Source organism: Homo sapiens, chromosome 2, assembly GCF_000001405.40.
Source record: "Homo sapiens chromosome 2, GRCh38.p14 Primary Assembly".
NCBI lineage: Eukaryota > Metazoa > Chordata > Mammalia > Primates > Hominidae > Homo > Homo sapiens.
The window spans coordinates 115,921,723-115,947,393 of record NC_000002.12 but is presented as its reverse complement, the minus strand read 5'-3'; positions in this window follow the sequence as shown (position 1 = coordinate 115,947,393).

Genomic DNA, 25,671 nt, shown 5'->3' with positions numbered 1-25,671 from the left:
AACAACAACAACAAAACATTAAATTATTTTGACAAGAAGTAAAAAGAAGAGAGAAAAACTACTTTTTCTAAGTTTAAGTAACCAGGCTATTGCCTACATAACAGATTTGATTTTCCCAGAGGGTTCCAGTACATAAAAACATCTGGAATCAGAAGTAGTTAGATGTATTGGAAAACAGATTCTATATTTAGAAAAGATGTCATTTGTGGTTAAGCTAAAATGCCACTGACAGTAAGATTCTGCAGTGTGGAAGAATTCATAGAGGCCAATGCTCTGAGTATCTCACCAAAGACTAGTTGGTGGTAATAGACAAGTGCCTCTTATCTCAGAGCCCTCCTTGTTCCCCAGAGCCAGAGACAAATTCATGTTATAGCAGGACTTTAGACACGTCTTACTGAATGCAAAATTTTCCAGATTTTTAAGATCCTTTCCAGATCTCACGTCAAATTTCTCATGTGACTTAAGGATCTTTCAAGCTTATAGACTGGTTCTACTCACACTTGCAGTTTATATTTCTCAAGGACTGATTGATTCATTTCACAATCATTTATAGACCAATCTTTATATGACCAGTTCACAGCCAGGTCTTCAAGAGGAAGGTATAGAAGACAGTCTTTTCTCTCAAGGAATTTGAGTCAAGTAGACAGAAAAGTAGAGAAACAAATGCAATAAAAATGACAAAACATATGTGAGTTTGAGCACTTTGAAACAGAGAAAAAGGGCACCTACTTCATTTTGTGCAGGGGCTGGGGGAATGAAAGATTTGTGGGAGAGAGAAATCATGAATGAGTCTTTATGTTTGGGAAAACAGTAGTTTCCAATCAGAGGACATAGCATGTGGGCAAAGTCATGAAAAGATGACAGAACAAAGCACGGGGTATCTGGAAGTGAAGAAGGAGTGATAAAAATAGGCTGGAGCCTAAGGCAGAGATGAGGTCTGGCAGGGGTTTATAGACTATGCTTAATAATTGACATTTTTGTCTTAGAGACATTGAAGACAGGATGAAGTATATATACAGAGAAATGACATGTTCAGGTTTCATATATGTCATGTATTTTTATATTAAATAATGCGGTAAAATAATAGTTGCCATTTATTGAGCCTCTATAATTAGATCTCAAAAGAATAACTAATATCCAGAAAACATTGGGTAAGTCACTACTGAGTGGTTTACTAAATTTTGCCGAATTGACTGGAAAATACTTCTTGGAATGAGAATTGAAATTTGTATCTGAGTTCCTGTCCTTTGTATTATAACATTTGCTTTCTGATTCAGAATCTAGGTTTAGTAGTTCAACTCCAGTGTCTCTTTAATGTGTTATTCTCGAATGTTGTGCTGACACAAGTTTTGGGGCTCATTTAGGACTCAAGTCTATTGCCTATAATCACAAAACAATTTTTTAAGGGGGAGAAACCTCTGGTGGTATCATACGTCACTACGTATCTACATTACACCCCAAAAAAGTCTTCATGTGCCTCTATTATATAACTTTTTGTTTCCCATTAAACTATATTTTATTTGAAGGCAAGAAATATGACTTATTCTTTTCCATAATAAAGATTAAAAAATTATTCACACTTGACCAGTCTGTGTTCTAGGCAGTTCGCATTAAAAAATAATGATCAATTCACCGTATGAAGTAAGTAAGGTTTCTGTTTTAAAGATAAGGAAAGTAAGATACCAAATACTTCAGAATAGTCTAAGGCCACTTATCAAGTAAGTGCTGGATTCAAGGTTTGATTGCAAGCTCAATGAATCTCTCATTTGTAATCATGTTTATTTCACCATGCTTGGCAGATGGTAGCACTTAGTAATTATTTGTTGATAAATGAATGAGTGAAAAATTTAGTTAATCCATCACACTTTGAAAATAAACAGTTTTTAAGTAGTAGTTATTCTCCCAAAGTTGTTTATGTGACTTCTGTAATATCTAAACACACAAGTGACTTAAACTAAACTTGAGTAAAAATGAGCTTAATGTATGTAAACAAAATTGTCCATGCAGTCTGAGCATATATTTTTGCCAAATGCTATCATTTGAATGTGTCTCCCAAAAGTTCATGTTTTAGAAACTTAATTTCCAGAGTTATACATTGATAGTATTTGGAGGTGGGGCATTTGGAAGACAATTATTGCTAGATGAAATCATGAGGTTGGGGAGCTTACAATGGGATTATTGTCTTTGTAAAGAAAGAAGAGGCCTGAGCTGGCAAGCTCTGCCATGTGATAACACTTGCCATGTCACGTTGTAGCAAAGACACCTTTAGCAGATGCTGGCACTATGCTCTTGGACTTTCCAGCCTCCAGAATGGTGAGCTATATAAACTATTTTTTATAAATTACTCAGTCTGTGGTATTTGCCTACTGTAACAGAAAATAATTTAAGACACCGAATAACTGGATCAAATGAGTATTTCCTTTCATTACCAATATTAGTTTTCTCTACAAGCATCCTAGTAATAAAGTATTCTAATCATCAGTCCTGAAACCACCAGTCTGGTCATATGCCATCATTGAGGTTCCATTGTGCTACATTAGATTGTCCTTGCAGGCATGTGCCAGGATTATGTAAAACTCTACTGCAAACTTAGGTGTGCTATCTCAAAAGCTTTTCCATCCCTCACTACTTACTCTGAACCACTTTCTCTTAATGTTCCTTGTTTTGTTTTCTGTTGTTTATAACCTCTTTTTATGCATTGTCTCCTCTCCTTTTTTATCTGGACCTCTGATTTGGATCCAGCATCTACATTTTATGCCAGCATAGCCTCTGTATCACACCATTAATGCTTACCCTCCAGTTGCTGCCGTGAACCAGTCTAACCTTAGGTCTCAGAGGATCAGTGAGTGGGGACTAGTTATCATCTTGCCTCCATTTTCAAAGCAGAGAGACCATGTTTCTAAAACTTGTTTTTTAATTGTTGTATTAGTTTGTTCTCACACTGCTGTAAAGAACTGCCTGAGACCAGGTAACTTAGAAAGGAAAGAGGTTTAATTGACTCACAGTTCCACATGGCTGGGGACAACTCAGGAAACTTACAATCTTGGCAGAAGGTGAAGCAAGACACCTTCTTCACAAGGCAGCAGGAAGAAGAATGAATGCAAGAGAGTTACCAGACACTTATAAAGCCATCAGAACTCATGAGAACTCACTCTCTATCATGAGAACAGCATGGGGAAACTGCCCCCATGATTCAACTACTCCACATGGTCTCTCCCTTGACACCTGGGGATTATGGGGATTACAATCAAGATGAGATTTTGGGTGGGGACACAGCTAAACTATATCAATTATATATTCCTGATTAGCTCACTTGCTCTATCAATATACTACGAGAATTGGTTTTCAGAAGGTTTAGTGTACATAATCCAGGTATCAGAAATTGATTTGCACTCTGATTCAGATAATGATGTGCTTCATTGTCTCTCTTTATAAAATAAGGTTAGAAATTCCTGTTCTACCTATCCACAGGTGCTTTTTTATTAGTGATATAGCATATGTAAGGTCACATTGAAAGCATCTTTTAGGAGTAAGGCTAAAAAATAGAATGTTCAATTAGACTATCAAAGGAGAAGAGTTTAAGCAGGCTATATTTTTTCATATACAAAAGATGCGTTTTTTGTTAATAATGTGATGAATGCTGGAGTCTTTATAAATCAAATATAAAATTAAATAATAAAAAATAAATATAAATTTAAAAGAGTAGAGACTCTCATATTAAATTTTAACTACTGAAGATATTTTTTCTTATAGTGCTTTGGAAACCAAATATATTTGTGCCACCACCTCACACTACTGACTGGAATTAGACTCAACCTAATAGGAACACTGAGAACTGAAAGCAATTATCAATGTTTCTTTTTAAATTGATAGAAATAGTGAATGTTACTTTATACTTGTGTGTGTATACTTGCAATTTCCTCTCTAGTGTATTATAATTTACCTTTTCTGTTTTATGGAATATAGAGCATTATTTAAAATGTGGTTATTCTCAAGACTAAGAATTGTAATAGCTGGACTTCAAGTTTTACAGCTTAGAGCTTAGTGGCTTAACGCTTGGTAAATAAGCACCTCTCTGAGCCCTTTAAATAGTATTTAAGCTGAGTTAAGTTTATGAGTTAGCTATAAAATTATAATTTGGCTCTGAAGAGGAAACCTCATTTAGTGGCACTCAACAAACTAATATAGTGACCCTAAATCCCAACCTGACTGTTTAGTTATTACAACACACCACTATGAAGACTATTAACAGGCCTAATTAAGGCATCAATCACCTCTCAGAACCTCAATAACCTTACAATAACTCTTTTTATGGCATTTTTAGCAATTTGCTCTAATGCACGAGGGCCATATATAAATGAATTGGATATTAGGGGCTCTGATTACACGAGGCCATTTGGCAAGCATTCCCAGCCCCCTACACTTTCACAAGCTCGCTGGGAAACAGACCAGAATACCTTCTAAGACGGACAGAGTAGAGCCTGAGCTAGTCTTCATTTAACACAGCCCAATATGCTGCCAGGTTTTTAGGCTTGTGTAGGCAATCAAACAGAATACTATAGGCCATCGGACATTTCCACATTTTAAAGACTCCTTTTTTTTGTTCACGCTGCACTATCCAGAATAGCTGTCTACGTGGAGCAAATCACCTATTGCAACAGCCACTTTGTATGCAGCTGTGTGGGCAAACTTTCTAAAAAGCACATTAACACTTTTGACCTATTGTGTTAACGGACCTGACTTTCTCAACTGAGTATCTCTCTGGTAAATCAAACACGCTTTACTAAGACAGGCTTAAGGGTAAGATATTATTTGGTGAAACTTCAGTGAGAGCATACGCTTCAGTTTATCCTGTTGTAGGTTTTGGTATGTTCTAAGTGATTTTTCAAGAGGGAAATTCACAAGAGGGAAATTAACAGATATTTTCATATCCCTTTGGCTTGCTGCTTCATAGGTCAGCAGGGTGTCAGTGAGGGAGAAGAAAACAGGTTGGAAGTTAATGGCTGTACTGGAAGAAAACCAGCTTCAACATCTCAAAGAGAATATAATTTTTATGACTACGCAGGGGATGGAGTTAGCAGATCCAGAGGATGGTACTGGTGAAGATATGATTAATAAAGTGAGGACTTAAAGCCTAACCTGGTACTACCAACTGATTGCTGGGGTCATGGCACACATTGCACACTACAAAATAAGAAACACATCATAAGATGTGACATGAGGAATTAAAAATCTTCCTAAACTTGTAGTCTTCCAAAAGTTAGTTACTTGGTTTGCATTTCTCATGTTAGTCATTCACTTGAATTAGTGTATTGGAGTTCAAAATCTAAAGGTGTTAGCCTTTGAGGGATAATTTTTAATTCACATTTAGATATTTCCGTATTTGAGTGAATTAGCTAAATACTTCTCAAATAAACAAGTTCATGAAGACATAAGGCAGGGATAGGGCAGTTTTGAAAGAGGAACTAGGTTGGACTTATGGGAAGAGATGTCTAAGATGTTTAATATCCAATTCATTTCTATTGGAAGAGATGTCTAGATGTCTTGATCATAGGCAAACATGGGAGAGGACAAACTTAATGTAGAGAACTAAGGAATTAAGAGACAGACTTTCTAGAGAGGCCTCCAAATATGCAGGATATCAGTGAGAAAAAAATGCTAATGATTTTTGTTGTTTAGTTAAGATAACTTAGGTGCTGTAGCCAACAAATCCTGAAAGAATATTTAAAGGCTCAAACGTGACAATTCATTTATTGTATACATTAAGTCCAAAATGTTTGCTCTTCATTGACAGGCAGCTTTCCTTTAATTAATAATTTAGGGACGTTTACCTCGAGCTTCACCAACTTTGGAAGCACGATTTCAAAGGTTACCAAACTCAATTGCAACAAGTGGGTGCAAAGGGAAAGGTGTTGGAGACATATAAATGCAAAGGAGTCTAAGAAATGGGCTTAGTGAGAGCTCAGTGATCTCTGCAATGCTGGCATTTTCCTGAGCCCTGGTCTTGATTCTGTGTCTTACAGTCTCTGGCATTCTAAAGTAGGTGATAATGAGGCAGAAAAGGATGTACAGGCTTAAAACAGACAGGCTACATAAAGTAGGTGACAAAAGGAGTGAAGATGTTTTCTTGTTGCTCAGCTTTCATCAAAATCAAAACAAAAATTGCATTTCTGCTTGTTGGTCTAGAAAGAATTGATATTCGAGAAATGAGGGCTGTCAGAACCAGATTGGAGTCTCCTGCTTTGTTGATTTGCACAGAGTTATTATATATGGAACTGAGACCACATAGCTCCATTAAATGTGTATAGAAAAAGAGTCTTGACACCCCTGATCTTCTCCTGTCCCTGGCTATGCTAAATTTATCAGTGATTAAATTTATTTGATGGTTTTCTTAGTTAAAACACAAAAATTATTAAATCTACTTCTATCTGAATCCAAAATATTATGGGGATTATGTGGAATTATTTCATTTACTTCACAGCTGGGGGACTTAGACGGGCTATAGGCTCAGTCATGTATTCTAACTGCATTGGTCTTTAAAGACTAAATAATCTGGAAAATGTGATTCTTAAAGTACAGAGGGAGATAACCAAACTGGCTTTCCACTAAGTTTTTAAAAAATATTCTGAGTTGGCTGAAATCCCCAGTTTACACATTTGCTTCTAGTGAAAGCACTTTCGAAAATTATCAAGCCTGATGTTGGGTACTAACACCTGGAAAATAGATATGTGATATGCACCCGGTATCTTCATTTAAGGACCCTAAACCCTTATGTTCACAAGTTCCAGGTATTTCTGGGACTAAGAACTACACCAGAACATCAAGACATTATAAAATTTAATTCCCTATGAAATGAAACAATAGGAAAAATAACATCTTTTCTATGGTTAATTCCGTTTGTTAATAAAAAATTGTTTTTTGTTGATATTTTTTACATGGAGCATTCAATCTCTACAGCCAAATATTGTTACTGTTGAGTTATGTCAAATCGGTGCCTGATGTTGCATCCCTAAATGCTTTTGGAGAACATTATGGTGAAGTTGATCATTAGAGCTTAAGGATCATCATTCATTTTAAACCAAAGCTATAAAAAGCATGAAATGTCCACAGTGATGATCAGCTCCTTGAAAAGATGTGAGGATACTGGTGCATATTTCTTTAAATTACTCAGTCAATTTTAAAAGAGAAATATTGTTGCTATTTTCATCACTTTTCTTCATAAGGGATGCTTCTATACTCATAGCATAAGGTGACTCATCAAAACTTTGTCACAGTGAGTGGTCAGAAGGCATACGCCAGAACTCCAGCATTATCCAACAGCTGTCACTTCCATTTAAGGGACCAACGCATTCTCTCATGGACACTTCCTGGGGCAGCCTTTTGCAAATTGCTCATCTAACAATCGAGAAAATGAGGAAGGTGTTTACTTCAAAATAATCTTAGAAATTGACAACATGAAATGGTAAGTTTGCCTTTTAGCATTGCTTAAGAATGTGATTTTCTCTTATTTAGTAAATTAGTTCAGATTTTTGAGGATTTTGTGATACCATTTCTTTCTTCAGGTTATAAAGAGTATTTGCTATTTATATTCAGCACTTTCTTGGCCCGTAATGTGGTGCAACATACTGATTTATAAATCAATAGATTATACTATTGTTAAGTTAAAAAAAAGCATTTCTACCTTCATGCCATATTTTTAGCCTTGCACTATAGAGAAGTAGACTTACTGGATTTTTCCCTCCCATGTAGAAGAGTGTATTGGTTAGGAAATATATTCCCCTACGAATAAAAAAGACATCACCACCACACACAAAACAAATGTTGCTTAAAAAAGTATGGAATTTATGTTTTCCTCTAGTAATGGATAAGTCACAAAATAGTACAGATACCGTGGTTTCATGTTGTTATGGCCTAGGTTCCTCTCATATTCATTCTCATGAAATGATTGCTGTGGCTCCAGCCAACACATTTAGGTTCTGGGATAGTAGAAATAAGAAGGCTAAGTATAAAAGCTGGTACGTTCTTAAGGCATGACATTGTTTTAGAAAAACTTCCTGCAAGCCCTGCTTGTAAGTCTCTTGTAAGACTGCATAGCTCAGAAGCCTGTCCCATAGACATCAATGCCTCAGATGGGACTGGTAAATGTTGCTTCTAAACTGGGCACATTGTCAGTCTCAACAATATCTAGGTAATGTCATTAAGAAAGGAGTGAAGAATGAATATTTTATTAGTTTTAGAGATGAGATCTTGTTATGTTGCCCTGAGTAGAGTGCAGTGGCTATTCATAGGCAGAATCACAGACCACTACAGCCTTGAACTCCCGGGCCCAAGTGATCCTCCTGCCTTTGCTTACTAAGTAGCTGGACTACAGGGACGTGCCACCACGCCCAGCTTGGAGAATAAATATTAGTAAGCGGCCAGTAGTCTTTGTCATGGGTTTACTGGGAAATTTCTGCTCATCTAGCTTTCCCCACTTCCACCCGCTTTCAATCCTTTTTCCAGAGAGGGAGGACTGGCCAAGGTGATTGGTCAGAGGTTACAATTAATCCATTTTACTAGGAGGCAGAATTGCAGGCCTTAAAAGATCCAGACTCACTTCTTGAATCCTCTCACATGTCCTGTTACAAACAGATAAATGGATCAGGAGAACTTTCTAAACCAGATTCACAGAAGTATTCTGTTCCAGATCCTCTGCCTATTCCTGAGTAGGTAAAACACTGTGCAGGCTCAGTTTTCTTTACTGGAAGAGAAATGGGACAGGAAACCCAATCTTAGTGTTAGACCTACAAAAAGAAGGTACATTTTGAGGGTTATAGGTGGCTTGTCCAGATTTGTCAAGTGGAACAATAGTTCTCACTTGGTTATACACTTTTATATGTGTATCTTCCATTAGTCAGGACGCCAAAGGGAAGGAAGAGAGATGAGATGCATCACGAACCTCCCAGAGAAAGCTTTTATCTTAGCCAAATCTTAAAAGCTGCATAATTTAGAGTATTAGCCACTTGCCAGTTTGCTTGTTCCTTTCCTACTTTTCTTACACTCCTGCTCTGCCTCCAGCAAGCAGTCTTCTCATGATCTCTCTCGTCAAGGAAGCTCGTCCACGTAGACTATCTGGGCTCAGTGCTTGAGCTCCTGCCTGTGTCTACCAAGTTATAATTATTCACTTATTTTTCCACTAGATGGATGGTTTCTTAAGGACAAAGACCATAGTGGGACTCTGAATCTTCAGGGACCAGCAAAATTCTTGGTGATATCAAGGTACCAAAATGTCTACAAATGTAATAATTGACCATCACTTAGGTGACTAATATGGTACAAATTACCCTGAAGTTCCTGCATTAAGGTCCACAAACATGCCTAAAGAAAATGCACCGAGGCGTGCTCAGTCTTCTCTTGCATAAGCGCCCCACTGTACTCTGCTGCAGCATTCCTTCTAATAAAACTTTTCTTTTCAAACCTAAACCACTGTTGGTAAATTATTTTACCATCCATGAGCCAACCACTCTCTGCCCCCGGGACCCTGACACCTTGCCCAGAAGTTTCCTCTTAGTAATTTTGCATCCACTGACATTTACCCAGTTTCTTGGTTATAAATTCTCACTTGTTCTTATTGAAGTTGAAGTTAAGTCCAATCTATTTTCCCTATTGCAGGATCCCACTGCAGTGGTGCCTACATTTATCATCATGGCTCCTCTTGAATAAAATCTACCTTACCATCTTCAACAAATGTGTCATGAATATTTTTTACTTTAACAGTGTTTTGAATATTTCTATTGAATATTGCTGAGAGAAATTGAGCTATCCTTCTGTAAGATTCTCTTTCTGAAATTGATGTATACAGACATTTATAAACAATTCCTGATCATCACCAAAAGAGTTAGTGAGGTATTGGCAAAATCAAAGTTGGCATAATTTATTGTTTGCCTCTAAAGGTTTTAACAAGAATCTCCATAATAACCTAATGTTTTGAATTCATCATTATTAATTGTCACACAATTTCTCACCTTTCTCTTGGCCTGAATTCAACAAATTGCTCTTAGCTTCTTTAATATGATGCATAGTTAATAGAAAGGCAATGGAGAGAGCAAACTATGTAGTGATTTCTTGGAAACTGACATAAAATCCCTAGAGAAAACTGTGAAGGCCTCTTTATTCACCAGTTTCTTATCCAACTTGTGTAAACCACAACCATGTTCTATCTAAATATGGCCCATGTTTTCCTCATTGTAAACCAGGCTTGTGGATCAAATGATTATCAGAAGACCAAGGAGTCAAGAAGAAATAGCTACAGAAGATAGAAAGGACCAAGTTTAATCTTCCTGTAAATTCTAAATCCTGCAATGTACACATCAGACTGAACATACAAGATTAAAAGGTAACTGCCTCTACTGAAGAAGGGAGAGTCAATAGCCTTTGGAAAGATGCTCAGGAGGGAATCAGGTGGGGGAAGAGAGAGAAAGAGAGGAGATATTGATGAGAGGAACGCCTAGTACACCAGACCCACTAGTTCAGAGATATGTTAGGGATGTTGCCTCCATCCTCTCTCCTAACTCTCATATTGACTCATAAGAGCAAACAAAAGCCACACTTGACAAATGGGATCTAATTAAGCTAAAGAGCTTCTGCACAGCAAAAGAAACTACCATCAGAGTGAACAGGCAACCTACAGAATGGGAGAAAATTTTTGCAATCTACTCATCTGACAAAGGGCTAATATCGAGAATCTACAATGAACTCAAACAAATTTACAAGAAAAAAACAACCCCATCAAAAAGTGGGCAAAGGATATGAACAGACACTTCTCAAAAGAAGACATTTATGCAGCCAAAAAACACATGAAAAAATGCTCATCATCACTGGCCATCAGAGAAATGCAAATCAAAACCACAATGAGATACCATCTCACACCAGTTAGAATGGCGATCATTAAAAAGTCAGGAAACAACAGGTGCTGGAGAGGATGTGGAGAAATAGGAACACTTTTACACTGTTGGTGGGACTGTAAACTAGTTCGACCATTGTGGAAGTCAGTGTGGCGATTCCTCAGGGATCTACAACTAGAAATATCATTTGACCCAGCCATCCCATTACTGGGTATATACCCAAAGGATTATAAATCATGCTGCTATAAAGACACATGCACATGTATGTTTATTGCGGCATTATTCACAATAGCAAAGACTTGGAACCAACCCAAATGTCCAACAATCACAGACTGGATTAAGAAAATGTGGCACATATGCACCATGGAATACTATGCAGCCATAAAAAATGATGAGTTCATGTCCTTTGTAGGGACATGGATGAAGCTGGAAACCATCATTCTCAGCAAACTATCGCAAGGACAAAAAACCAAACACTGCATGTTCTCACTCATAGGTGGGAATTGAACAATAAGAACACATGGACACAGGAAGGGGAACATCACACACCGGGGCCTGTTGTGGGGTGGGGGGAGGGGGAGGGGGGAGGGATAGCATTAGGAGATATACCTAATGTTAAATGACGGGTTAATGGGTGCAGCACACCAACATGGCACATGTATACATATGTAACTAACCTGCATGTTGTGCGCATGTACCCTAAAACTTAAAATATAATAATAATAATAATAATAAAAAGATGCAGTGACTCACAAAAGTAGCTTCGCTCGCTTCAGGAAAAACTCACATATTTATTCAAGAACCATGAACCATTTAGCTTTCTTGAGTGTGAGTTCTGATTCTTGAGAAGTCAGGAGTTCTCAATAGCTCAGGCTGCTTGAGTCAACAAAGTTCATAAGAAAAAAGAAGAATGTGAACCAGAAAGAATGTATGTTGACCGGCTATTTTAATTCTATATGTGTGGAAATACTGCTTAAGGACACTAAATTTTAAGGACAAAAGTGATAAACGTATGTAAGAATTGAAGTTTCCGGTAGGGTCTTTCTAATATTTTGCTTGAAGGATCTCAGTAGCAAGCCATGTAAGTAACAGTGGGTCACTGGAAACAAATGTAAATCTGTAGTCCTCTGAGAATTGAGCTTATTTTTCTCTAAAAATTCTTTTGCAGGATTATGGATGTCTCGGTAATGCTAGTGCTATGTGACCAGTATAACTTGGCAGACACATCTCTCTTTTTGTCTAGAATAATGTCCTGTCAACTTGCTTCTGTAGATTCCAGCTTTTTTTCTATTCCTGGCACCCAGTGCTTGTTGTATTCCCATAACTGAGCCCTGTCTTTATTGAAAAAGAGATGATTCAGTTTAACGTGGAAGGTCCCAGAAGAAAGCAAGCAGGAGCAGGTGTGTTTTATCTCAAGACCTGCAGGCTGTCTTATGCAGTAGGCTCCTCCAGCAGCTTAGCCAGCTGTGCAGCACATATGGAGTAGAGGCCAGAAGTATGGCTCAGTACATGTGCCTATATTAGTAACCACAACTACAAACTGCCACTCTCAGCATCCACTCTTCTTGAAAATGGCTACACTGGAATGAGTTTTATTGCCTCATATCCACCAAAACACTCAAGCTCCCGATGTCTCCCTTTCTACAGGCAGAGCTTTCGGAGGTCTAGTCACCAAATAAACTGTTTATTTTGTGATAGCATTTATGGAATAAAAGAAGTGATCCACATAGATTTACATTATATCAAATAACTTGCTTAGTTGATTTTCATCTTAATTCAGGTGAAATTTTCATCTTAAGTCAGGTGAAATTGTCTCAGTGGTAGACCCTGAGACAAAGATCTCTCACAAGTCGTTTATTTGAAAGGTGAAGAAATCACTTAGTAGGGTTTGGGAAATTAGACAAGGCACATTATTAAGCCAGCTACTCGCTGTGTGTCAGTGAACCTTAATTCTGCTAGGGACACACTAAGAGCCAATGTGAAGATCATGCCTCTAATGCCACACAAGGGACATGGAGATTGGTGTATATTTCTCATCAACTCCCTGTAGTCATTGGTTAAGCACTGCTCCCAAGTGGTCCTAATCTCCAGCATAACTGACCCCACGCTTAAGTTGCTGAAGCTTGGTGACTAGCCAGAGATAAACCACAGGCAAAGGGAAAAAAAAAAAAACCCTGTTTCTGGCAGCTGGAAGTCAAATGAGCCTGCACTAAAGTGGTAAAGACAAAAATATATAAGACACCTACAATTTTTCTGACAGTTATTCAGTTGAAAAACTGAACCTTTCAAGTAAGAAACTCTCTACACATTAAAGAATACACTAGGCCAGTCAAGTCGCTCTGCATTTTTTAAAGCCAAATTGACTAGATGAGGAATTTTGAACAGATTTACCCACACTCCTACTTTCATCTCTGCTTCTCTTTGCTTGTCTACAGAGGAAACAAATGGCTCAGAGGTTAATTTCTTTACTTTTTACAATAAGACTTTGCTGCTAAAGCTCTCCAGATTTCCCTGATATAATTAATTAGCCCTTGGTTTCAAACAAGGGCAAAATTGTCTAAATACTTATAGCCAGAGCAATATTTTGTAAAATTTGTCTGGTATCTCTCATTTACCCATTCTGCTTTCACCCCTCCTTGATCTCATTCCAAAGATGTCTATATTTTGGCTGTAGCTATTGGCTATAATACTTCCATAAAATTTCTTCCTCATATAATTTCCCATTTTATGGAGTTTCGCTGATCTAAAAATACTTTGCATGCAAGGGTTAATGGTTCACAGACTCTTACAGTTATTTCTCCCATATATATTTGAGGATTCATATGTAAATAATATATATGTTTTATATATATTATATATATACACACGCACACTGTTGAAGTATGCCATATAAATATATGCTATATATGTCTATTATATATAAATAGTTTAACTGTTGACATATACCATGTATATATACACATGAACGAGAACAATGATGAGAGTTAAAAACTGCAGGAGAACTCAGTTATGGGGGCTTTTTTTCTATATATATACATGCTATACTTCAACAGTATATACTGAAGAGAAATATATAGTGGAGAAATAACAGTGTAAGCATCTGTGAACCATTAACCCTTGCATGCAAAGTATTTTTGCTCACTAACATACTGGCATGGTAACATACATTGGGATACAGGGAGTTTCTCTAGCATCTTTCAAATTATATTATTTAAGTGTTCTCTTTCACATTATGGACATCAAAATATACTTCTTTGATCCATTTTTCTCATACTTGCCTGTACATAACCTTGTGTTTTCTACCAGCTGTTTCATGGCATATATTTTATATCTCTTTTTTTTTTTTTTTTTTGAGATGGACTTTTGCTCTGTTGCCCAGGCTGGAGTGCAGTGATGCAATCTCAGCTCACTGCGACCTCTGCCTCCCAGGTTCAAGCAATTCTCTTGCCTCAGCCTCCTGAGTAGCAGGGATTACAGGTGCCCGCCATCACACCCTGCCAATTCTTTTATTTTTAGTAGAGACAGGGTTTCACCATGTTGGCCAGGCTGCTTTCCAACTCCTCACCACAGGTGATCCACCCGCCTCAGCCTCCCAAAGTGCTGGGATTACAGGTATGAGCCACAACGCCCAGCCTGTATCTCATATTTCTAAATAAGATTCTTGCAAAATTAAATTTTGGAAAGCTGCTTCCTATATAAAAATATTTGTTTCCTTTATAGATTTCTTTATCAAAATGATTTATTGCTCAATTTTGAAAGCCTCATATTAAGTCTGAAATGGGTTGATATGTGTATACTGCTTTGATACAGATTAAGGAGCGAGGGAGTAACAATGGAAATGCCACCCCCTCATTTATTTCATGTTTAGGTAATCAAATTGCTGTCCACACAGACAAGGCAATCACAATATTTTAAACCACACTTTCAAATTTCCTGAGGCTTTTCCACTGAATCATTGTGGCCATGAGGAGCTGAATTTAAGAAGAATCAATGAGAGTGATAATGAACAATTCTATGAATGAAACTTTTCTGCATTTCTTTTTTGCTCTGAATTATAATGCACTCTTGGTAGATCCTAAAGTATTGTGTCTATTATGTCTATTTCAATCGCCATTCCCTGGAGGTTCTGAAGTCTGTGGCAAGGCCATCACGAAAACTAAAAGTTGAGTGTCTGAGTCCTTAACATTAAGAGTGGGGAAAAGTAAAGCCTGAGGAATCAATTTAAGGCCAACATGGGAAAAGATAACTATTAATCTCAGTAACATGGGAAGTAGTATTTAAATTCATAATAGCCTAAAGCACATTCTCAAACATAAAATGCAGCAAACATCATCAGGTGAGTAACATTCTCCTAAGTTCCTCAAATATCTCATTAATCTATCATTGGAAGAAACAATGATATGCCTTAGGGATGCTCCTGAATATTTAGATTGATTTCTTTAAACACACACACACACACACACACACACACACACACACACACACAAACCTCACAATGAAATATTTCATCTTTGGAGATAGAAATATAAAATATACATGATAGAGCATTTTTCCAGTTCTGCAGGTAAGGAACTTGGAAATCTCCACTCTGTTGTAACAAGTAAGGAGCTAAACAAACTGAAAAATCAACAACTCTTTTTAGATTTGAAAAGAAGTGACATCACAGGGCAAAATACTGTTCCCAGAATTGAAGTGACAGACAGGCAGATGCATAAGAATCACAACCTACCTGTACAGAAAGCTCCGTGGAACCAGTGGCAGGGTAAGAAACCTGGAACAGTAGTTGACGAATAGCTCTAGGCTCAGTGTGAGCAATACTGAGAGTTAAAAACTGCAGAAGGACTCATTCACGGCGGGGCAGGGGGTGAGGTGCTTCTGTCAGTTTTACCTCGAGAAACTTGACTGAGTCCTCACATTAGACATGAGGGGAAAATTCCCTTGTGCTCCCAGCAGGGAGTGGGGAAAGGAACCATTTTGAATTACGGGAGAGCACGCTGTTCTTCTTAAACAGGTGTGCCCTCAGGAGGAACTAGTTAACCTGAGTCTAACCTGCTGAATCTTATCAGACTCAAACTTCCTCTGGGAGGAAGGAAATATCTAACTCTAGCCTCTAGCTTTCCATGTGAGTAAAGGAAAATATCAAACTCTAGCTCACTCTAGCTATCCTATTCCACCTATAGAAGGAGAGAAAAACTGCAGAACACTTGTAAACATTCACAGTAACGAGGAATAGGCTCACTAAAAGACAGAGGCCTTATCACAGGACTATAAACTAATTTCTCTCCTCCCACACCTTAAAACCGCATTACTAACGACATATTTAGAGTAATTCATTTTACACAGTACATCCTGTTCCGCTATCTATCTTATCTGTCTAGGTATCTATTATGTATCTATCTATCTATCATCTATCTGAAAGATACACACACACACATACTCTAAATGGCAGAAAAGAAACAAACAAACAAACAAAAAACACACAGTTTGAAGAGACAGACACAGGGCAGGGATCTTGAAATTAACAGAACAGGAATTTAAAACAACTATGATTAACACGCTAAAGGTTCTAACAGAAAATGTAGGCAGCATGCAAAAACAGATAGGAAATGTAAGCAGAGAGGTGAAAAGCCTAAGAAAGTATCAAAAAGAGATGCTAGAGATAAAAAATAATGTGAACAGAAATGAAGAATGTCTTTGGTGAACTTATTAGCAGAATCAACATGGGTGAAGAAAGAAACACTGAGCTTGAGGATAAACTACCAAAACTGAAAACCAAAGGGAAAAAAAAAGGCTAAAATAGAATAGAACATCAAAGAACTGTGGCACGACTACAAAAGGTGTAACCTACACATAATGAGAATGCCAGATATAGTAAAAATAACAAAAGACCGTTTTCTCAAATTCCCCTTTATAATATCTTAGTAATTCCTGAAGAGTTAAATAAAGTCTCTGATATTTTACTTAAAAAAAGAAAACAGTAATAAGTACGGTCGATATTAATTCAACTGTATCAGCAATCACTTTAAACAACAACATTCTAAATGTACCAATTAATAGATAGGGAATGCCAGAATGGATCAAAAAATAATATGCAACTCTAAGTTGTCTACAATAAACCCATTTTAAATATAAAGACACATAAGATTAAAAGTAAATGAATGTAGAAAGATATACAATGCTAGTACTAATCAAATCAAGAGTAGCTAGCTGTATTAATTTCAGACAGAGCAGGCCAAAAAAACAGTTACCACAAATAAAGAGGGGCATTACATAATGATAGAGGGGTCAATTCTCCAACAAGGAATAGCAATTCTTGTAACAACACATCATTCTACCAATGCAGCATCAATATTCATGAGGCAAAAACTGATGGAAATGCACAAAGAAATAGATGAATTCACTATTTTAGTTGAAGGTTTCAACACCTCTCTATTAGAAATGAACAGATCCAGCAAGGAGAAAATCAGTAAAGATATAGTTAAACTGCTATGGTTCGAATGCTTGTTCTTCCCTTACCCCCCCAAATTCAAATGTTGAAATCTTAACACCCAAGGTGATGGTATTTGGAGGTGGGCCTTTGGGAGGTGTTTAAGTCATGTAAAGATATTGAGAGAAGGCACAGTCTATTAACCTAATGGGATTAGTGGCCTTATTAAAAGGGCTTTATAAATAGAAACTTTGCTCCTTCCACCATGTGAGGTCATTGTAAGAAAATGTGATCTGTAAGCTAGAGATTATGCACTCACTGAATTTGCCAGAGACGGTTACTTGGAATTTGCAGCCTCCATATTTGTGGGAAATAAATTTCTGTTGCTTATAAGCCACCCAGTCCATGACATTTTGTTATAGCAGTCTGAAAAGACTGAGACATGAGCCCAGCAACACCGTCAATCAATAGGATATATTTGACTACAATATATAGACTATTTCATCCAACAAAAGCAGAATATACACTTTTCTCAAGCTTACAGGGAACATTCAATAATACAGACCACATTTGGGGCCATAAAATAAACCCAACAAATTTAAAATAATAGAAATCACACAATGTCTGCTCTTAAACCAGAGTGGAATTAAACTAGAAATTAATAGCAGAAAGGCAGAAAATCCCAACATACATGGAGCTTATACAACACAACTCTAAATAACATGGGTTAAAGAAAAATCTCAATCGAAAATTTAATATATCTTAAGCTAAATAAAAATGAAAATACAACTTATCAAAATTTTTGGGATACAGTAAAAACTGTATTTAGTGGGAAGTTACAGCATTTACTGCACATATCATAAAGAAAAAAATCTAAAATCAATTTATCTAAGCTTCCGCTTTGGGAAACTAGAAAAGGAAGAACAAATTAAATACAAATTAAGCAGAAGAACATAAGTAATATAAATTAGAGCAGAAATAAATGAAATTAAAATAGAAAGTCAATAGAGAAAAATCAGTGAATCCACCAACTGCATTCCAGCCTGGGCAACAGAGTGAGACAGGGTCTGTCTCCAAAAACAAACAAACAAACAACAACAACAAAAAACCTCCTGGAACTGGTAAGCTATTATATCAAAGTTGAGTGATGCATGCAAGGAATAATATACAAAAATCCATCAGCAGGTGGCATTTGAGATTAACAATGCAACACAACTCACATTAGTACCCTAAAAAATGAAATATTTATATATGTCAAACAAAATATGTACAACATCTGTACGAGAAAAATGAAGAAACTCTAATGAAAAGAATCAAAGGAGAATTACACAAATAAGGACATATTTCACTTTCATTTATAGGAAGACTCAATATTGTCAAGATGTTGGTTCATCCCAACTTGTTCTGTAGATTCATTGCCATACCAATCAAAATCCTAGCAAGTTACTTTACAGATAAACTTTATTCTAAAGTTTATATAGAAGGACAAAAGACCCAGATTAGCCAACACAATAATGGAGAAGAACCAAGTTGGAGGATTAATACTACCCAAATTCAAGACTTACTATAATGCTACAGTAATCAAAACAGTGTGCTTTTAGCAAAATGATATTAAAAATGGATCAATAGAGCAGAATAAAGGGCCTAGAAATATGCCCATATAAATGTAATCAACTAATCTTTGACAAAGGAGCAAAGGCAGTACAATGGAGGAAAGACAGTCATTTCAACAAATCGTACTGGAACAATCAAATATCCACATATAAAAATAATAATAATAATATCTCTACACAGACCTAACATCCTTCATACAAATTGGCTCAAAATATCCCACGGGCCTAAATGTAAAACACAAAACTATAAAATTTCTATAAGATAACATAGGAGAAAATCTAGATGACATGGTTTGGTGATAGCTTTTCAGATATGTCACCAAAACTTGACCCAGGAAAGAAAGAATTGTTCAACTGGACATTATTAAAATTTTTAGAAAATCTACTCTGTGTAAAACTCTGTCAAGAAAAGGAAAAAATGAGACAGACTAGGGGATATATTTTCAAAAGACATATCTGATAAAGGACTGTGTCTTAGTCAATTTGTACTACTATAACAAAATACCACAGTCTTAGTAATTTATAAACAACAGAAATTTATTTCTCACAGTTCAGCCTCTGCTGCATCCTTCAGAAGGGAGGAATGCTGTGTCTTCACATGGTGGAAGATATGGAAGGGCAAGAGAGGATGAATGCTCTCTGAAGCTTTTATTATAAGAGTATTAATCCATTTCCAAAAGTCCCCAATTCTTAATATAACAAAAATGAGGACGAAGATTCAACATAAATTTCAGAGGTGACACCACATTCAAACCATAGCAGACTGTTATCCAAAATGTATGAAGAACACTTAGAACTCCACAATAAGAAAACCGACTAACTGAATTTAAAAAAAAAATGGACCTAAAACTTTAATAGACACCAAAAAATACAAAGCAATGACAAATAAGCACATAAAATAATGCTCCATATCATATTTAATCAAGGAAATGCAAACTAAAACAATGCGATACCACTACACGTCTAGTAGAATGGCAAAAATTTAGAACACTGACATCACCAAATGCTGGTGAGGAAGTGGAGCAACAGATACTCTCATTCATTGCTGATGAAATTGCAAAATGACACAACCACTTTGGAAGACAGTTTGGTGGTTTCCTACAAAACAAAACATACACTCTATGATACAGCAGTCTCACTCCTGGTTATATACCCAAATGAATTGAAAACTTATTTCCACACAACACCTTACACATGGATGTTTATAGCAGCTATATTCATAATTTATTCATAATTATAACAACATGTAATCAACCAGGATATTCTTTAATAAATCAATGGATAAATAAACTGTGGTACATCCAGGATCATATGGAATATTATTCATCACTGAAAATAAATAGCTACCAAACCATGAAAAGATGTGGAGAAAACTTTAATGCATATTACTAAGTGAAGGAACTCAATCTCAAAGGCCTATATACTACATGATTCCAAATATATGACATTCTGGAAAGGGAAAAACACTGGAGACAGTAAAAGATTAGTGGTTGTCATGAGTTAGAGAGAGGGAGGGATTAAATAGGCAGCACACAGAGAATTAAGGCAGTGAAACTATTCTGTATGATACCATAATGGTGGGTACATGTCCTCCTATATTTGTCCAACTTGTAGAATGTATAACATCAAGAGTGAACCCTAAAGAGACCTAGCCTTTAGATAACAATGATGTGTTAATGTAGGTTCCTTAGTTTTAACAAATCTATCACTCTGATGGGGAATGCTGTTGAAGCAGTAGGCTATGTATATGTGGGGGCAGGGTGCATATGAGTATCTCTGTACCTTTCTCTCAATTGTTCTGTGTACTTAAAACAGCACTAAAAAAGTTCTATACCTACAGTCAACATTATATTGAACAGGGAAAAGTTGAAAGCATTTCCCTTGAGAAATGGAACAAGACAAGGATGCCCACTTCTATTCAACCACTTCTTCAACTATTCAACCGCTATTTCACCACTTCTATTCAACAGGGTACTGGAAGTATTAGCCAGAGCAATCAGACAAGAGAAAAAAATAAAGGGCATCCAAATCGGTAAAGAGGAAGTCAGGCTGTCACTGTTTGCTGATGATATGATTGTTTACCTAGAAAACCCTAAAGACTCCTCCAGAAAACTCCTAGAACTGATTTTAAAAATTCAGCAAAGTTTCAGGAGACAAAATTAATATACACAAATCAGTAGCTCTGCTATACACCAACAGCACCCAAGCTGAGAATAAAATCAAGAACTCAACCCCTTTCACAATAGTGGCAAAAAAATAAAATACTTACTAAGAACATGAAAGACCTCTACAAGGAAAACTACAAAACACTGCTGAAAGAAATCATGGATGACACAAATGGAAACACATCCAATGCTTATGGATGGGTAGAATCAATATCATGAAGATGACTGTCTTAGTCTGTTTTCACACTGCTGATAAAGACATATCAGAGACTGGGAAGAAAAAGAGGTTTAAGTGGACTTACAGTTCCACATGGCTGAGAAGGCCTCAGAATCATGGTGGGAGGCAAAAGGCACTTCATATGTGGCAGCAGCAAGAGAAAATGAGGAAGAAGCAAAAGTGGAAACCTCTGACAAACCCATCAGATCTTGTGAGAGCTATTCACTATCATACGAATAGCACAGGAAAGACCAACCACCATGATTCAATTACCTCCCTGAGGGTCCCTCCCACAACACATGGGAATTCTGGGAGATACAATTTAAGTTGAGATTTGGGTAGGGACACAGCCAAACCATATCAGTGACCATACTGCCAAAAACAATCTACAAATTCAATGCAATTCCCATCAAAATACCACCATCATTCTTCACAGAATTAGAAAAACAATCCTAAAATTCATATGGAACCAAAAAAGAGCCCACATAGCCAAAGCAAGACTAGGCAAAAAGAACAAATTTGGAGGCAAAACATTATCAGACTTCAAACTATACTATAAGGCCATAATCAGCAAAACAACATTGTACTGGTATAAAATCAGCTCATAGACCAATGGAACAGAATAGAGAACCCAGAAATAGAGCAAAATACTTACAGCCAGCTAATCTTCAACAAAGCAAACAAAAGTGGGTACAGGACACTCTATTACACTAACGGTGCTATGATAATTGGCAAGCCACATGTAGAAGAAAAAAACTGGTTCCTCATTTCCCAACTTATATAAAAACATTGACTCAAGATGGGTCAAAGACTTAAACCTAAAACCTGAAACCATAAAGATTCTAGAAGATAACATTGCAAACAACCTTCTGGACATTGGCTTAGGCAAAGATTTCATGACCAAGAACTCAAAAACAAATACAACAAAAACAAACACAAAAGATGAGACTTAAACTAAAGAGTTTCTGGACAGCAAAAGAAATAATCAGCAGAGTTAACAAACAACCCACAGAATGGGAGAAAATCTTCACAATCTGTACATCTGACAAAGGACTAATAACCAGAATCAACAAAGAAATCAGCCAAAAACCCCCACAAAATCCTATCAAAAAATGGTCTAAAGACATGTATAGACAATACTCAAAATAAGATATACAAATGGCCAACAGTATATGGAAAAAAAATCTTAACATCGCTAATTTATCAGGGACATGCAAATCAAAACTACAATGCGATACCACCTCAATCCTGCAAGAATGGCCATAATCAAAAAATAAAAAACATAATAGTGGGTGTGGATGCGACGACAGGGAACATTTTTACACTGTCGATGGAAATGTAAACTAGTACAACCAGTATGGAAAAGAGTGTGGAGATTCTTAAAGAACCTCAAGTAGATCTACCATTTGCTCCAGCAATCCTAATACTACGTATCTACCCAAAGGAAAAAACGTCATTATACGAAGAAGATAGCTGCACGTGTATGTTTGTATGTTTGTAGCAGCACAATTTGCAATGGCAAAAATATAGAACCAGCCCAAATGTCCATCAGTCAATGAGTAGATAAAGAAAATATGGTGTATAGAGGCAGGAGAATCGCTTGAATCCGGGAGGCGGAGGTTGCAGTGAGACGAGATTGGGCTGCTGTACTCCAGCCTGGGTGACAGAGCAAAACTCCATCTCAAAAAAAAAAAAAGACATGGGCCGGACATGCTGGCTCATGCCTATAATCCCAGCACTTTGGGAGGCTGAGGCAGGCAGATCACCTGAGGTCAGGGGTTTGAAACCAGCCTAGCCAACGTGGTGAAACCTCATCTCTACTAAAAACACAAAATTCGCTGGGCGTGGTGGCACACACCTGTAATTCCAGCTACTTAAGAGGCTGAGGCAGGAGAATCGCTTGAACCCAGGAGGTGGAGGTTGCAGTGAGCCGAGATGTTGCCATTGCACTCCAGCCCTGGGCAACAAGAGCAAAACTCCACCTCAAAAAAAAAAAAAAAGTGAGCTCTATATATATGTGTGTGTGCATATATATATGTGTGTGTGTATGTGTGTATATATACGTGTGTGTATATATGTGTGTATGTGTGTGTGTGTGTGTGTGTGTGTGTGTGTATATATATATATATGTATCCATCCCATGGAATACTACTCAGCCATAAAAGGAATAAAATATTGGCATTCACAGCAACCTGGATGGAATTGTAGACTACTATTCCTAAGTGAAGTAACTCAGGAATGGAAAACCAAACATCGAATATTCTTGCTTATATGTGGGAGCTAAGCTATGAGGATGCAAAGGCATAAGAATAATACATTAGACTTTGGGTCCTCAGGAGAAAGGGTGGGAGGTGGAGAGGGATAAAAGACCACACAATGGGTATAGTGTACACTGCTCAGGTGATGGGTGCACCAAAATCTCAGAACTCACCCCTAAAGAACTTACTCATGTAACCAAACACCACCTGTTCCCCAAAACCCTACTGAAATAAAAAATAATTATTTAAAAAAAGTTCTATATATAAAATATAAACATTACATATCGTATATGTAATAGATCATATATATCATATATAAATAGATTATACATATCATATATGTAATATAACCCTATCATGGTCATAAACACCTCACAGAACTTAATCTAATGATCTTATATATCATATATATGAGATATAAGATATATTCCTATTTATATATAAGCTATATCTCATTATATATGCATAACATATACATATTAGATATCATCAGATTAACTTTTGTGAGGTGTTTGTGTCCATAATTAACGCTTGCAAATATGTTCATCTACATATAATTGTGTAAATCATGATCAGAGGTGACAATGTTGAAATTTATCTCTGCCCTGTGATCCTGGAAAACAGCAAAGATTAAGAAATCTCTCCAACACTTATGTGCTATAGAATCTCATTTGCTGCAAAGAACCACTCTGCCCCATATAAGTTATTAATAGATAAGATTCACAGATGTCCCCCTTACTTACCTATGACATGTCTAGACACACACCCTCCAAATTCCCATTTTTGCCTAATAAATGATTAGTCGAATTGTTTTGTCTCCACTGACTTATCAGAACAAAACGCTTTGACAGAATGATTGTACAAATGGACAATGAACAGACCACATATAAAAATATAATGTTGTCCCAAAACCTGCCTTAACCTAGCTAGGAAAGCAACCCTTAGCTACAACAAATAATCCAGGAAGTCAGCCTGCCATAAATCAGACTTTGAAGAAACCAGATTGCTTTCTCTAGCGAAAAGCAAGAAAATTATACAATAACTTTTGTAACAATTGGCTCAAAATGGCCAGGACCTGATTAAAAACTGGCAGCTCCCCATTTACTGTCCCTAGTTCCAACTCAGGACAAATGAAAGAAAGTCAAATGTGCACCCCTAACCAATCACATAGGATGCCCAGCTTCTAGTGAGCCTTCCCACAGCTTCCCTAAGCTAACATCCTTCAACGAAGGTACACTTGAAGGCTTTCTTTTTTTCACTAGGTATAAAGCTTTCCCACTCTTCTGCCTGCCTCTCACTCTCTGAAATGACAGTGGCTGATTTCTTTGCTATAGCAAGCCTATCATAGCCTTTGTTTTTCTCATTTGGTTAGTCTGTATTTCCACAATTTATTATCCGAACTTTGTGCCCCAGGTTCATGAACTTTCACCTACCTCAGCCTAGGCCAGCATGCAAACTCTCCCTAAAAGCCCTTGCAAAACACAGATTAGCCCAAGTGTAAAACATTCCCTTTTATCCCTCTTCCACACACACCCAGTCTTTTTCTAGCTTTGTTTCTCTCTATAAATGAAAAAAAAATTAAAAAAAATTTTTTTTGCCTACAGTTTGAGATGCTTGCAGATCTATGATCAGAGAAATAGCACCCTCCCCTTATTACAATAGTCCCTTTCTCCCTCACAATAATACATTTGTGTAAAGTCTCCTTACCAGGTCCAGATTTGTTTTGTTTTCAATTTGACAGAGGATTTGTGAAGAAGTTGCTTATCTGCATGTATATATTTAAGTTTTCATTTTCATGTAAATATAATAAAGCAGTTTGTGTATGACACTTGGCAGAACATTGCAAAGTGACTGACCAAGAAAATCAATGATTGTAGAAGCAAAGAGTGTGGTCTACAATTCTGCTGAATCACATACTTGAAAAATGAGAAATAGAGATTACAGGGGCAGTAATTTTACTGAACTTGTCTTTGCTTAGTTTTAGGTGACAGGAGCCAGGATGATGTACCATCAACGTATAGGAAAGAGTGAATTATTTTCCCAGAAGGATATTAAGATTAGATAGGAGAAAAGCTTTCATGCACTGATTCTTATGAGTAAATTCATCT